General features: G+C 39.5%; 1 long non-coding RNA gene across 1 annotated transcript in view, besides 1 other annotated feature; it reads right to left on the bottom strand.

Moving 5' to 3' along the window:
- MYHAS (myosin heavy chain gene cluster antisense RNA) overlaps positions 1-17047 on the bottom strand; it is a 242409-nt gene that overhangs the window by 45571 nt on the left and 179791 nt on the right. The window contains exon 3 of the long non-coding RNA NR_125367.1: positions 12358-12433. This is a non-coding gene — a long non-coding RNA (myosin heavy chain gene cluster antisense RNA). The remainder of the gene's footprint in view (positions 1-12357; positions 12434-17047) is intronic.
- Positions 7602-8194: an enhancer, noted in NCBI's record as "NANOG-H3K27ac-H3K4me1 hESC enhancer chr17:10475093-10475685 (GRCh37/hg19 assembly coordinates)". NCBI's record gives its function as "activates a minimal SCP1, AML or CMV promoter by ChIP-STARR-seq in primed H9 embryonic stem cells {active_cell/tissue: H9 hESC(primed)}" and the evidence as "EXISTENCE:reporter gene assay evidence [ECO:0000049][PMID:30033119]".

Here is a 17047-nt window from a genome sequence, read left to right as displayed (position 1 = left end):
TTAAGCATAAACATGGTCAGAATAACATGTAGAAGAAAGCTACTGGAGTGGCAGCGATGTGCTGGTTTTCAACGTGGATGCTAATTAGCTCGTTGTTTTCAGTTGGTGAAAATTCATCAAATTGTCATCTTATGATGTTTAGTTGTTTGCATTTTATATCATACTCAATAAAGAGTTTTTCTTCTAAAAAATGCTATCTTCATATAAAGATAGCAGAGAAGTGGCAATCACTGTGGATATGTTTTACTAACAGTTTATCTGGTTAAAATTCTGTAATGGTTGCTGCTTGAAACCAAAAAAGGGTCAGTTCAGGGACCCAATCTTATAACCTCAAAGTGCATTTTTATATGCCTGTGCATAGTGAACAATAAAATCCTTTTAGCAATAATTAAACAGATAGGTTTAGCTCTCAAGTAGCTTGAGGCTATAGCTGTGGCTTGACCTCACAGAAAAAACTGCTCTGTAACCACAGCAATCCCCAAGAGACACTGCCTTGAGTAACCAGGTGTGCCCGTTCATCTATCAGGCAGTTCAAGTTCAGGATACCAGAGCCAGTTGCCACAATCTAGTTACCAAGCCACACACCCACTGTCTCTCTCTGTCTAAATCCTTTCTCTTCCCCTCCTCCTCCAGGACGTCTCTAATGAGTTCTAGACTTCAACTCACCCCATCCCCACTTTTCTGCCCTCAAACACACACATATACTCTCTATCTAAAACAAACATTAAAAGCTTACCTCCTTTCAATGGCTTCTCCCCTTGTCTTTGTCAAATGCTTCCCTCTGCACCAGCCAATCCCTCTTCCCCCTTCTCAATACCCTCAGATTTCTGTTTGGGCATCTATACAGTCCCAAGGAAGGTGACTTTCCTCTTGTTACCTCCAGGGATGGATGGGGCATATGGCCTAAGCTACGGTCTTCAGTTTTGTTTTCCCTGCTCATGTACACCTAAAAGTATAAGTTACAGGGCAGAGCTGAGAGGCCAAAAGGATCTGAGCTCTTGATAGTATCACTGAGCTTCCAGATCAAGCCTTGCCTTATGCTAGTCTTCTCTCTGATCCTTCCAGATACATTAGCTGACACATTTAATGTTTTAGCTTCTTTGAGTTGGAATTCCTGGTGCTTTTAACAAAAACATAGCAATTGAAACATTTTAATACGTTTATTTTCTTTTATTTTTTTAGACTGAGTTTCACTCTTGTTGCCCAGGCTGGAGTGCAATGGTACGATCTCTGCTCACTGAAATCTCTGCCTCCTGGGTTCAAGCGATTCTCCTGCCTCAGCCTCCCGAGTAGCTGGGATTACAGGCATGTGCCACCACACCCAGCTAATTTTGTATTTTTAGTAGAGACGGGGTTTCTCCATGTTGGTCAGGCTGGTCTTGAACTCCTGACCTCAGGTGATCCGCCCACCTCGGCCTCCCAAAGTCCTGGGATTACAGGAGTGAGCCACCGCGCCCCACCATAAATTTCTCATACAAATAGTCCATGCCACTGGCTCCATTCCCTTATCACTTCCTCTTGACCTATCTAAAATCAGCTTAGCTAAGGGGTAAAGATACGAACCAATTGCCTCTCTATGGGCCCATAGCCTTTTATTTTTTTTCTTTTCTTTTTTTTTTTTTTCTGAGATGGAGTTTCACTCTGTCACCCAGGCTGGAGTGTAGTGGTGCAATTTCAGCTCACTGCAACCTCCGCCTCCCAGGTTCAAGTGATTCTCCTGCCTCAGCCTCCTGAGTAGCTGGGATTACAGGCGCACACCACCACACCAAGCTGATTTTTGTATTTTTAGTAGAGATGGGGTTCCATCATGTTGGTCAGGCTGGTCTCCTGACCTCATGTGATCCGCCTGCCTTGGCCTCCCAAAGTGTTGGGATTACTGGCGTGAGCCACTGAGCCCGGCCGTTTTTGTTTTTTTTTTTGTTTTTTTTTTGAGACAGGGTCCCACTCTGTTGCCCAGGCTGGAGTGCCATAGTCTTTTTTACAGTGGCATTTATATCACTTTGTCATGTGTTGTCTAGGTCCACCATCCCTTATCTACAATTCTGAAATCCAAAATGCTTTGAAAAGACAAAATCTTTTTTTTTTAAGAAAATAAGTTTTCCCTTTCACAACAAAACTTGACTGAAAGTGGTGTAGAGATATTTATCTCTCTTTATCCCACTTAGTGTGAGTATTTATGTGCAGAGATTCTTTCACTGCAGAAATATGAAGTTGTTTGATTCTGAGGTCCTCTCCCAGATCCTGCTGGGGATACTAGGGAGTATAGATCCACAACTCCAAATCCACAACCTTTGGGGCCAGGTGCATTTGGAACTCAGTATTTTAATAACTTTTGGAAAGTTTTACAGTGCACATCACATATATTACCCTGTTGGGAGTATGACATAATATTCAGTAGTTCTTTAGGGAGAAACTGCCTGCAAAGCAGGAAGAACATTCAAAACTTCTGGCAGAACAGTGGGAATCCACTGATAACATTACAGAAACAGATATCTGGTAGTCAAAGAAAATTCCTTCATTGATACAGCATTAGTCTACACTGTCTCTGAAAAAGAAATTGATATCTATGTGATACTGTAATGGTGGATGTATGACATTAGTCAAAATCCATAGAATGACCAACACAGAGTGAACTCTAATGTAAGCTATGGACTGTTAAATGTAGACATATCGTATTGGGTAGTATATTGGATCAGATAACTTCAAAGATACCATCTAGCCTGTCCATGATTCCTCTCTGTAAGCCCCCCACTCCTTTAGAATATCTCAGAGTTGGCTAGGCACGGTGGCTCAAGCCTGTAATCCCAGCACTTTGGGAGGCCTAGGTGGATGGATCACAAGGTCAGGAGATCGAGACCATCCTGGCAAACACAGTGAAACCCCGTCTCTACTAAAAATACAAAAAATTAGCTGGGCGTGGTGGCAGGCGCCTGTAGTCCCAGCTACTCAGGAGGCTGAGGCAGGAGAATGGCGTGAACCTGGGAGGCAGAGCTTGCAGTGAGCCAAGATCACGCCACTACATTCCAGCCTGGACGACACAGTGAGACTCCGTCTCAAAAAAAAAAAAGAAAAAAAAAGAATATCTCAGAGTCATCTCATATCTGTAAGCCCTGCCCACACATTCAATCGAAACTCACACATGCCTCTAATCGCCAGCGTGAACTCTTCTCCCACAGTCTACACTATACTTCCAGATTTGCTTCTCTAACCTACGGCGTTCTTCTCCCTCCTTTTTCCTCAAGACCTTCAGTGACTTCTATTGCTTACTAAGCCAAGGCCAGAGAGTTCCCCTGGGCATTTAAGGTCTTACTGAATTCAACAGGTATTCCTTTACCCATGCAAACTTTTAGATCACTCTTCCTCCACAAGGACCCTCTATTAAGAGAAAATACCTAAGAGAATATTTGTCAAAGGGGCCCTGACCCCTTTTCCTCTCACACCTCTCCACCATTTACCATTGACTGATTTGAAATGTGTCCCTTTAGGTTCTTTTTGTCATTAGCACAGTCACTCAATTCTTATGCATTAATCTTCTCTTAGCTCCTCCGAATTGCTCTACCCTTTCAAAAACTTTTTGGTTCTAATCTAACATTTCTCTCATGATCATCGTACTTAATCTAATTAGTGCTCTCTGAGCTTTTAAACATCATTTTCCAAAGGGGAATCCTTGGTGAATTATACTCCCTCTGAGTATCTGATCTGTATAAGAAACTCTAAATTTGCGTTCCACACATTTAACAGTGCATATTATCAGATTCATCAGTAGGAAAAATTAATTGTCTCATTGTTTTTAATAGAAGATCAGGAAGAGAAGGGATCATTTTCTTGACGTATAAAAGCACCATTCAATCGTGAACAATTTAGCTAAAAGAAAAGAATTAACTTGTATTTGAAATATGTCATTTTCTGTCATTCCTGGAACATAGAGAGGGGACTAGTTCTCTGAGATCAAAACTCAGAATGCCATTTTTCTTGATGTTGGTCTATTTTATCTTTCATCTTTGTTACCTACATGTTTTGTTTGCTTTTTGTCAAAGCACATGCCAATAGACTAATATGAAGCTTCAGGCTACTGCAGTGTCTCATCTAAGCATAAACCTAAGATTTCAAAGAGGAATCAACATCCCTCTAGTCTTTAGTTTTTTTTGTTTGTTTTTGTTTTTTTTGTTTGTTTGTTTGCTTGAGACAAGGTCTTGCTCTATCAACCAGTCTGGAGTGCAGTGGTGTAATCATGGCTCAATGCAGCCTTGAACTGCTAGGCTCAAGCAGTACTCCTGCCTCAGCCTCCCGAGTAGCTAGGACTTCAGACATGAGCCATCATGTCTGACTCTTTTTTTTTTTTTTTTTTTTTTGTAGAAATAGGGTCTTGCTTTGTTGCCCAGGTTGGTCTCAAATTCTTGGCCTCCAGTGATCCTCCTGCCCTGGCTTGCCAAAGCGCTAGGATTACAGGTGTTAGCCACCATGCCCAGTCCCCAGTCTGTGATTCTATTTATTTTGATTGCCAAAAATAAGCCAGAGGAAAATTACTGTGAAATTTCTTTTAAAGGTCAATCCATTTCTTGAATGACTTGCTACAGAAGAAGACTTCAGGATTATTCACATCCAATAGCCTCAAGAGAAAAAGAACTTTTCTATAAAATAGCCTGGTCCTTCAGCAATTATCACCGAAACTTTTCCAAGCAAATAAAACCAATGTATTAAGAATTTTGACAATATTGAAGGAAGATCTGACAATGATATACATTGACACAATTAGACGTAAAGTAATGACTTCTTAGATGGGATGGTTAATTTTATGGGTCAACTTGGCCAGGCCCCAGTACCCAGTTTTGGGTCAAGCACCAGTCTAGACATTGTTGTGAAGGGATTTTTATTTTTATTTTTTGAGACAGGGTCTTGCTCTGTTACCCAGTCTGGAGTGCACTGGTGCAATCATAGCTCACTGCAACCTCAACTTCTTAGGCTCAAGTGATCCTCCTGCCTCAGCCTCCCAAGTAACTGGGACCACAGGCATGTGCACCATGCCTGGGGCTAAAATTTTTTATTTTGTAAAGACGGGGTCTCACTATGTTGCCCAGGCTGGTCTCTAACTCCTAGGCTCAAGCTATCCTCCCACCTTTGCCTCCCAAAGCGCTGGAATTATAGGCAGCAGCCCCCATGCCGGGCCAAAGAGATTTTTTAAGGATGCGATTAATATTTAAATCAGTAGACTTCAAGTAAAGCAGATTACTCTCTATTATGTGGGAGGGCCTCATTCAATCAGTTGAAGGTCTCAAAAGACTGAAGTCACCAAAGGACTTAAGACTACAACATCAACTGTTTCCTGGCTCTTCAGCCTGCTAACCCTGCTCTGCTGATTTCAAATTGCCAGCCTCACAACAGTGTGAGCCAATTCCTTCAAATAAATCTCTCGCTTTCCCTCTGTGTGTGTGTGTGCACACGTGCGTTTGACTCCTTGGAGAATCGTGACTAATAAAGCAGATATGCATATTTACAGTTGAGGCATACAAGTGAGAACATGGCAATGTGATACAGAACAAACAAATAGTAGTGCTTACAAATAGGAAAATTTCTTGAACTCATCCCCTTCTCCTCCAGCGAAGGTCCAAACTTTGTTACTATGACAGTACATTAGTTCATAAAATAATAAGTATATGAAATTTTTATAAAAACTGGAATGATCTCTTCAAATCAGCAAATCTGCTGCATCTGAATTTCCAGGTTCATATTGCTTGCTCAGATACTGCCCCAAGTCACCTTTGAGCTAGCACTAGACTGTCATTGAGTCAAATTTTGCAGCTTCTGGAATGTAGGAATTTACTTGGTGAGACACAAGTCTGGGTTTTCAAGTTGTGGATTAATGGACCAAAGGAAAATCAAGAAATGAAAGAACACCAAACTTGTAAATTCAATAACTAGAGGTGAGAGGAATGGAGAAAAAATCTGTTGTCAATAATTGGCAGTTTGTCAAAAAAATACACATTTGGAAGTGAAGGTGATTATCTCAGTTTTTAACATGAGATAGATGATCTGGAAAAGTCTACACAAAATTGGGAGTACAGGAAGAAACAGCAAGTATAGTAGGCACAAGCTTTTAATCTGCTCAGGATTTCTTTAGGCAACTACCCTTCCCCCATTCCCAGTCCCCATCAATCTGAGACTGACTCAATCTCCAGGATTCAGGAGTCTGTCATCCTTTTGGCCACAGGTGGTTGGCATAGGAATTAGGTTGCCAAGTTCAGCAAATAAAAATACAGGATGTTCAGTTACATTTTAATTTCAGATAAATACAATTTTTTTAGTATAAGCACGTCTCAAATATTGCATAAGACATACTTATAGTAAAAAAAATTTGTTTTTCTGAAATTCACATATAACTGGGAGTTCTCTATTTTATCTGGGAATCCTATTTAGTGATGAAAATGTGACATTAACCAGGCCAATCAGAGCCCTTCCAGAATTGGTACCGGAACTCCTGGGAAAAGTCTTTCTCTTTTCCTTAGACTATCAGGACAGTGAAAACCTAGAGCTGCCACGAACTGGATTTCCCACCACAGAGAGGGAGCTTGTTGCAGGTATGAAGCCAATACAGAGAAAAGCACAGTCAAGAAATGGAGAAAAAGAGCAATTCCTGGAGGTGTCATTTTAATCCCAAGATTGAAGCCAGAATACTTTTGTTTGTTTGCATTACATTGATTTGAATTTCCATCACAACCAAGATGTCCTAACTGCAGGGTAAGAAGCCAGGGTTAGAAAAGATTTTAAAACTCATCGATGTTGATGGAAGCTGCCAGGCATAGCAAGTTCTTGAACTGAAAGAGTCCTTGGGCTTCTAGATCTGGGAGTGGTTGCCTTTGGGGATGGCTATTGTAGGTCTATACCAGGAAAAAATAGAAATGCTTTCTGTCTCTGGTGGGCTTCTCAAGAACTTCATGGTCTTTTCACCTCTGAGTGTATGTTTCTCTTTCCTGATTTTATAGCCCTGCTCTGTCTTGACCTTCAGCTTTTGGGGATTCACTGGCTTCCAGTTTTTGTCCTGGCTATACACAAACTCTTCTCAGCTTGCTTTGGAACCCTCTTCCCACCTTTTAAAAATTTTTTTGGTTCTCCTTATCCTGGATTATTGCCATTTTTATGAATGCACTGTAGGGGTGAAAGGAATTTTCCTTCTCTGAACCCCCCGCCTTAAAGGTTTGGTAATTTAAATTTACAAAACAAAATTATAATAGATAAACGGGAGAAAAGGCATACAAATTTACTATAAGCACATGTATATAGAAGCCACTCAAAATATGAGACTCAAGGGAGGGTCAGATGACTGAAGTTTTTTTTTTTTTTTTGAGACGGAGTCTGGCTCTGTTGCCCAGGCTGGAGTGCAGTGGCGCTGTCTCGGCTCACTGCAAGCTCCGCCTCGCCGGTTCACGCCATTCTCCTGCCTCAGCCTCCCGAGTAGCTGGGACTACTGGCACCGCCACCACGCCGGCTAATTTTTTTGTATTTTTAGTAGAAAAGGGGTTTCACCGTGTTAGCCAGGATGGTCTCAATCTCCTGACCTCGTGATCCGCCCGCCTCGGCCTCCCAAAGTGCTGGGATTACAGGCGTGAGCCACCGCGCCCAGCCGACTGAATGTTTTATACTGTACAGAAAGGGACAGGGGCTTGGAGCTCCCAGAAGGAGGTGACAGTAGGTCATGGGATGGTGAGGGAGGAAATACACTGTAAACAAAAGTAGTTGTCTTATGCAAATGAAGCCACTCGGCTGACAGTCCTCAGAAAGAATAGATGGTAGGCTATGTACAAGTTTCTCTGTCAGACCTTTAAAATGTCAGAGTTCGTCTCCTTTTCCTCTGAGTTAATCTCTCCTAGATCCGGATAAGGAGAACTCAGAGAAAGCCTCTGCATCCGCTGTTTACTTCACTAATGTAGATTTCCTCTACAGATGCAAATCTCCCCCACAAAAGGATAGCTTTTCAGAGCTATTCCTGTGTCTGCAGCCCCTCTGAATAGCCATCTTGAAATATGCCAAAAGAAGCGTACTTTGGGGTGTCAGATTTTAATCTCCCACACCAGAGTTCCCTATAATCTAATTCAGGGGCATATTAAAGGACTAGTTAGTTCCTTATTAGAAATTAATCAGGACTAAGCAGCTAGCCCTAATTCAAGGACAGATTAAGATTCTAGAGGCTAAGCATTGAAAAAAAATAGAAGTCCCTTCTATATAATTTAAATAAAAGGAAAAACAGAGGGCACCCAATATAAGTGTGCTTCTTTTAAGGGGAAGGATTCACACAGACCCCTTTGAATCCTAGCTCTGCCTCTTTAAACTGGGCAGCATTGAACAAGTTATTGAACCTCTCTAGGCTTTAGTAGCATAGTGAAAAAAATCAAGAAAATGATGCCCGGCAGAGTGAAAATCAGGGGAAAGCCTGGGTCTGAAGGACCTGCTATCTGGTAGTTATTCAGTAAATGTCAGTTTGACTTGAGTCTCACAGTTTGCTTCAACCTTATTGGCTTTTCTTCATTTAAGTGATTGCTCCTTGCAAAACATGTATCTGACAAAGAACTTAGTGTGTGTATATATATATATATATATATATATATATATATATATATATATATGTGTGTGTATATATATATGTATACACATATACATATATATGCCATTTTAAAAAATAGACAAAGATTTTAAAAGAGAACTTCCTAATAGAAGATAAACAAATGGCCAAGAGTGCCTTAAAAGATGTTCAACATAATGAGTCTACAGGGAAATGCACATTAAAACCACAATGAGATACTTCTTTAAGCCTAGCAGATAAAGCTAAAGCTGAAATTAGTAAGACTAACAGTTCTTAGTGTTGGTGAGGATGTGGAGAAACTGGAGTTCTCACACCTTGGAGGTGCAACTATAAAATGATAAAATCAGTTTTAAAAGGTGTTTGACAACTTATTATAAAGGTAAATATATACATACCCTATGACCCAGCAATTCCACTCTATTTATCCAAAAGAAATAAAAATATAAGTCCATGCAAAGACTCTTACATATATGTTCATAGACTCTTTCTATAATAGTAACAAATTAGAAACAACCCAAATGTCTGTCAACAGGAGAATGAATAAACAAACTGTGTTCTTTTTTGTTTTTTTGGGAAGGAGTCTCGCTCTGTCACTCAGGGTGGAGCACAGTGGCGCGATCTCAGCTCACCACAACCTCCACCTCCCGGGTTCAAGCCATTCTCCTGCCTCAGCCTCCCGAGTAGCTGGGATGACAGGTACATGCCACCGTGCCTGGCTAATTTTTTGTATTTTTAGTAGAGACGGGGTTTCACCATGTTGGCCAGGCTGGTCTTGAACGCCTGACCTCAGGTGATCCACCTGCCTTGGCCTCCCAAAGTGCTGGGATTACAGGCGTGGGCCACCGTGCCCGGCCCAATCTTGTTATATTTTTAAAATAGAATGCTACTCCATGATTTTTAAGAAGATCAAAGTACTGATATATGCCACGACATGGATAAGTCTCAAAAACATTATGCTGAATTACCAGAGGCTGGGAAGGGAAGTAGGGATAAAGAGAAGTTGGTTTAAGAGAATAAAAATATAGTTAAAAGGAATAAGTTCCACTATTCAATAATACAGTAGGGAAATTATAATTAACAATTTATTGTATATTTCAAAGTAGCTAGAGAGAAGAACTGTAATGTTCCTAACATATAGAAATGATCAATGTTTGAGGTGATGGATATCCATCCCAATTACCCTATTTGATCGTTATACATTGTAATACATACAACTATGATAAATTAATTAAAAAGTGTTTTTCCTTCACCTTACTCCAATACCATTTGATTCATTTACTCACTACATATTTACTGAGCACCTACTATGTGCCAAATACTAACTAGATAAAGATTCTTACCATGAGCAATCTTACATTCTAGGGAAAGGAGGAGAAACATATGATACATAATAAACATAATAAATAAGTAAATATATAAAATGTAAAAAGACATTAAGTGCTATGAAAAATGAAAATGCAGAACAGGGGAACGAGATGAGTAACATGGAGGGGAAGGAGCAAGTGACAATTTTCAAATATGGAGGTCTAGGTTGGCCTGTTCATAGCTCCCCATTTCAGTACGCTGTCCTTACATGTAATATACATAGGAACACACTTATAGATACAGACTACTTGTGGTTTTTTAAACAAAAATGATAATACTCTTTCAATTGTTTTGATAACTTGCTTTTTTCTCCCTTAACAATGTATCCTGGACATAAGAAAAAAAAAAAGGGAGTCAGACACAAAAGAGAAGAAAGTGAATGATTCCATTTATATAAATCCCAGAACAAATAAAGCTAATTTGCGGTGAAAAAATTCAGAGAGTGGTCACTTCTGTGAATAGAGATTAAGTGGGACAGGGCACAAGAAAACTATGAGATAGCAAAATGTTTTAAATCTTAATCTGGATGATGATTACATAGGTGTATACATAAGTGGAATTTCATTGATCTTATTACTCACTGATTTTATTATAACTCAATAAAACAATTTTTAAAAATGATTGTGACATAGAATCCAAACTTTACTTGTATTATATAGTTAAAAATTAAAATACCATATTTCATCAATATCAAGACAAAATTTTTTCCACATTTTAACATTTCTAAAGTCAGGATGTGCCTTAGAATCAATGGCATTTCAGAGTTTAATTGGCACATTTTTTCTTTTTTAAAAGTATGTCAAATAATGTAAAATAAAATGATTTTCATTAAAAATTGGCAGCTTCTTTCTAAACATTTTTTTATTTTGAAAAATTCTTGTTAAATTCACCAGAACTCAATGTTTCTTGTAGAGTCATTGCTTTGGTAATGCTCTAAACTTATACTTAAGCTACTCGGTAGTCTAGGATTATCCTGATTTTAGAATTTATGTCCTGTTAAATGCATTCTCTCTCGGAGTCTCACTCTGTCACCCAGGCTGGAGTGCAGTGGCACGATCTTGGCTCACTGCAACCTCCGCCACGCCGGTTCAAGTGATTCTTCTGCCTCAGCCTCCCAAGTAGCGGGATTACAGGCATGTGCCACCACGCCCAGATAATTTTTGCATTTTTAGTAGAGAGAGGGTTTCACCATATCGGCCAGGCTGGCTGGTGGCCAGGCTCCTGATCTCAAGTGATCCACCTGCCTTGGCCTCTCAAAGTGCTGGGATTACAGGAGTGAGCCACCATACCCGGCCTGAAATGCATTCTTTAATAACTACATCTTTGAGTCATTGAAGTCAAATTAAAACGGCTCTCTGGCTGCAGCCCCACATTGTTCCAGCCCCTACAGCTGGAGCCTTAGCCTCCACTCATAGGCCCAGCCAGGTCCCAGCCTTAGGCATCACCAAGCCAGAGGCAGGAGAACACAAGTGCTGCTATGGTATGGCCATTCAGTAGTTATTCCACCAGTCCCACTCTCTTCCCTAAGGACTGGTTTCACAGAATGGAGAAATGTGTCAAGTGAAGTTTCTCTTTTCCCCAAGTTAGTGTGAACGATACTCTATGTTGGCTCACTCCGCATCTATTCCCAACCTCATCATCCCATGTCATCCTCAATTATGGAGGTTGGAAAGCCAAATGCTAGCTTTTCCAACTTCTCTTGGTACTTGTGGTATCCACGTGATACAATTCTGACCAGTGAGATACAGCTGGAAGTCGGGTTGTAAGGGTAAGGGGCAAAAGGATCTGGGAAACCTTTTGCTTTTTGCTATCCTGCCTCCCAGTGTTTGGCCTTAAACTTAGATGTGACGGCTGAAGACAGAGAAGCTCTCTCACAACTGTTAGCAAGGATAAAGAGCCACATGCCGAAAAGGGCAGAGTGGGAAAATACAAATAGCCTTGAAAATATAGCCAGGGATTTTACGAGTGCTAATGATATTGTGCCTACTTTTCTAGGAGTCTTTATCTTTTCGTGATCCATACTGAAATATTTATAGATTAAATGTAATGTTTACAACTTGCTTCAAAATAGCCCAGGGGTGCTACTGGGAAAGTAGATGGAGGTATAGATGAAATAAAATCAATAATTGTTGAAACTGGATATAGATACATAGGGGTTAGCTATATTGTTTTCTCTACTTTTGTGCATGTTTCAAATTCTCCATAATAAAAAGACTAAAAGATCAGTGATCAAGTTTAACATTACCAGCTGACTATCACAAGGTTAACATCACTAGTGATAAGTCCTTCTGATATCAGGACACCTGGCAATGAGTAGGGCACTCCACCCCAGTGGTATTCCCTGCCAACCCACAACTCCAGTCTAATTATGAGAAATCACCAGATGAGCTCAAACTGAGGGACATTCTACAAAATACCTGAGCAGTAGTCCTCAAAGTGTCAAGACCATGAAAATCAAGTGAAGATCAAGAAACTGTCACAGCCAAGGGATGCCTATGGAGACATTAGAACGAATGATACCCTGGATTAGATTCTGAAACAGGACAAGGATAAGAGAGGAACAACGGATGAAATCCCAATGAAGTCTGTACTTTAGTTAATAGTAATGTACCAATATTAATTTCCAGTTTTGACACATGTACCAAAGTTATGTAAGATGTTAACATGAGCAAAAAACTGGGTGAAGGGTATGTGAGAGGCCTGTACTGTCTTTGCAACTTTCCTATGGATCTAAAGTTATTCCAAAACAAAAAGTTTGCTTGGAAAAAAAGTCTGAAAGAAAAGAAAAACTTGGGTTCCTAGTGGCATTACTGAACCACTGAGCTGACATCAGCAATGGTCTACCCCAAGATTTCTTGTTATGTGAAAAAAATAAAACACATTTTTAAAAGCAAATGTCACTAAACTAGTCTGTTACTTGCAGCTGAATGAGTATCTACTGATAAAATGTGTTTATCTTTATCTTATTTTTTTTCTGATGCAATTAGCTCTTAAAACCCACAGCTGAGAACAATGGCACCAAGTACCTAACAGCAAATGGTACCCTTTTCCTACCCTCGGGCTGTCCAGAGGTGTCATTTCAGCAGAACTCTCATAACTGACCACCACTCCACTCCAATCCCCTAGTTTTTATAAGGGAAAGGCAGGAAGTGAGGAGGAAAGCACGGTCTCTTCCGGAACCTGCCTAAAAGCAAACAGTTTGTAAGCCCCTTTAGTAACGAGTTCTATACAAAATCAACACCCCAAAACAACAGTTTTCTTTTCAACCTCAATTCATCTTCAGTTATTTCTTTTCAACTTCAATCCATCTACTACAATGAATTAGTAAATATAATAGAAAACAAATCTCGTTCAAATAGCAAAAAAAGGTACAAAATACCTAGGAATAAACCAGGAAAAAAGTGCAAGAAATATAGGAATAAAACCATAAAACTTTATAGGACACAAAGACTTGAATATATAAAAAAAGTATTATCATGTTTCTAGACATAAAGATGCTACATTGTAAAAATGTCAGTTCTTCCTAAATTAATCTATAACTTAAATCTCTTGCCAATCAAAGTTTCAATGTAAAACCTAAATCTCATAAACGATACAAAAATTAACTCCAAATGGATGATGTATCTTAATGTGAAACAAAGCAATAACAATTTTACAAGAAAACAGGAGTGAAAATCTTCATGATCAAAGAGTTCTTGGACATGACACCAAAAGTGCAATCCAACAAAGAAAAAATTGATAAACTGGACCTTATCAAAGTTGAAAACTTTGTTCTGGGAAAAACACTACTAAGGGTATGGAAAGACAAGCTAGCACTGTGAACGTATATTTGCAAATTGCATATCCAACAAACAGGACCAGCTATGTAATTTATGGGGCTAAGTACAAAATGAAAATGTGGGACCTCCTTTTTGAAAAATTATTAAGAATTTCAAGACTGCAACTGTAGAACATTGAACAAAGCTCTGGGTCCCTTTGAGTGTGGAACCCTGTGCAGCTGCACAGGTCACACTCCCATGAAGATGTCCCTGCTCACAAAGGATTTGTATCCAGAATATATAAAGGACTCTCAAAGTTCAAAAGTAAAAAGACAAATAGCCCCTTTTAATAATGCGCAAAGGATTTGAACAGACACTTTACCAAATGAAAACATGTTTAACATTATTAGCCATTAGAGAAATGCATATTAAAACCAACGTGAGACACGACTATACACTGCTCAGAATGATTAAATTAAAAATATACTGACCATATTGAGTGCTGTTAGGGATATCGAGGAGCTGGCACTCTTATACACCTCTGGGGGAATGCAAAATGGTATAGCTACTCTAAAAATGTTTTGCAGTTTCTTATGAAGTTATACCTATGCTTATCATTTAACCCAGCAACCCCACTCCTTGGAATTTACTCAAGAAAAATGAACTTGCATTCATACAAAAACCTGTACATGAATGTTTAAGACAGCTCTATTCATAATGATCCAACGCTGCAAAAACCTAAGTGTCCTTCAGCAGGAGAGAATGAATAAACTGTGGGACCTCCATACAGTGCAATACTACTTACCAAAAAAAAATAGGAACTACTGATACTGTCAAGAACTTGGACGAATCTCAGGGCATTTTGCTGAGTGAGAGAACAGTCTCGGCCAGGTGCGGTTGCTCACTCCTGTAATCCCAGCACGATCTCGGCTCGCTGCAACCTCCGCCTTCTGGGTTCAAGTGATTCTCCTGCCTCAGCCTCCCAAGCAGCTGGGATTACAGGTGCCTGCCACCACACCTGGCTAATTTTTGTATTTTTGGTAGAGACGGAGTTTCACCATGTTGGCCAGGCTGGTCTCAAGCTCCTGACCTCAGGTGATCCGCCCACCTTGGCCTCCCAAAGTGCTGAGATTACAGGCGTAAGCCACCTCGCCTGGCCTAGATATCCGTTTTTTAAAGTAAAGTTAAATTTTTACATCACGTTACATATAAAAATAAATTTTACCTGCATTAAACAACCAATTGTATAAAACAAGATTATAAAAGTATCCTCCAGATACATATGTGCCTATGTGTATGTGTTTGAGTATAGAACAGAGTGTTTGTTGGTGCATTGTTTGTAATAGCAAAAAGAAGAAGAGAAAGAAAGGAATGTTCATCGGAAGTTAAATAACATATTTATATTACGGAATAGATATATCAATATATGTTCGGACATGAAAAGATTTTTGAGAAGTAGAACAAAATGTACAGAATGATCTCTTTATTACATGTTTTTGTATGTGCATATTAAAACTGCATACAAATTGATCCGAAAGGCCATGCTCCAAACTGCTAAGAGTGGCACGAAGGGGAGAGAGGGAAAGGAGGACATTCACTTTTTAACTCTATATGCTTATATACTTAATTTTTACAATGTTATCACTGCATATAGCAAGGTATTACTTATTGCAAAAAACCCTAAGTAACTTCCCCACCACATAGTCAACACCAGAAAGAGGTCTGAATAAAGGGCCATGTCCGACTGGAGAAAGGCTTAGTGGAGTCTGTGAGAGGCTGTCACAAGAGAAGGGACATTTGTGCTAGGTCACTGCCAGATCCCTCTTGGACAGCAGGGCATTTTGCTCAGACCTGTCCTTTTGCCATCCAAGGCTCCAGTTCCCCAGTTAAGAAATAGTTGTCAAGGAATAAGAGGATTCTTCTAGCTAAAATTCAGAGTCAGTAAGTGTTTACCAATTTGTATTTTCCAATACTTTCTATTAAAAAAGAAAAGCAAAAAGCAAGACAGTGTTAAACTGTGAAAAGAATATCTTTGCTTTCAAATATGAAGACCAATCATATTCAGTCTTACTAGCAGAGGCTTAGAGAGTGAATAACTAATGACTAGGTCCACTGAAATGCTTTGATAACCATTTCCTGTGGGATTTATAAAAGCAAGCCATTAAAGAATATCAGCAGCAATAACTTACATATATGTATATATTATATAATATAGGTATGTATACAGTCATGCACCACATAACGTTTCAGTCAACAATGGACCACATATACAGTGGTGGTCCCATAAGATTATAACGGCGCTGGCCGGGCACGGTGGCTCATGCCTGTAATCCCAGCACCTTGGGAGACCGAGGCAGGTGGATCACAAAGTCAGGAGTTTAAGACCAGCCTGACCAACATAGTGAAACCCCGTCTCTACTAAAAATACCAAAAAAAAAAAAAAAAAAAAAATTAGCCAGGCGTGGTTGTGCATGCCTGTAATCCCAGCTACTCAGGAGGCTGAGGAAGGAGAATCACTTGAACCCGGGAGGCAGAGGTTGCAGTGAGCTGAGATTGCACCACTGCACTCCAGCCTGGGCAATAGAGCCAGACTGCATCTCAGAAAAAAAAAAAAAAGATTATAATGGCACTGATAAATTTGTATTGCCTAGTGACATTGTAGACCTTCTAGTGGGACAAGATGTGGAGATGGTAGACAGTGATATTAATGATCCTGTGTAGGCCTAGGCTAATGTGTGGGTTTATGTCTCAGTATTCAACAAAAAAGTTTTAAAAGTCAAAAGAAATTAATTTTAAAAATAGAAAAAAGCTTAAAGAAAATATTTTTTTCAAAGCTATACAATGTGTTTTGTGTTTTAAGCTGTGCTATTACCAAATAGTCAAAAAATTATAAAGTAAAAATGTTATGGTGAGTTAAGGTTAATTTATAACTGGAGAAAAATACGTTTTTATAAATTTTATGTAGCATAAGTGTAGAGTGTTTATAAAGTCTGCAATAGTATACAGTAAGTAATGTCCTAGGCCTTCACGTTCACTCCTACTCACTCATTGACTCACCCAGGGCGACTTCCGGTCCTGCAAGCTCCATTCATGTAAGTATCCTATATTGGTCTGACATTTTTAAATCTTTTATATCATATTTTTACCGTACTGTTTCTACGTTTAGATGTTTACATACATGAATATTTCCCATTGTGTTACAATTGCCTCCAGTATTCAGTATCGTAACATGCACGTAACAGGTTTGTAGCCTAGGAGCAATAGGCTAGACCATATAGCCTAGGCATGTAGTAGGCTATACCATCTAGGTTTGTGTAAGTACACTCTATGATGTTTGCACAGTGAAGAA

The sequence above is a fragment of the Homo sapiens genome, chromosome 17 (genome assembly GCF_000001405.40).
Source record: "Homo sapiens chromosome 17, GRCh38.p14 Primary Assembly".
Classification (NCBI taxonomy): domain Eukaryota; kingdom Metazoa; phylum Chordata; class Mammalia; order Primates; family Hominidae; genus Homo; species Homo sapiens.
This window is presented reverse-complemented; position numbering and strand designations above follow the sequence as displayed.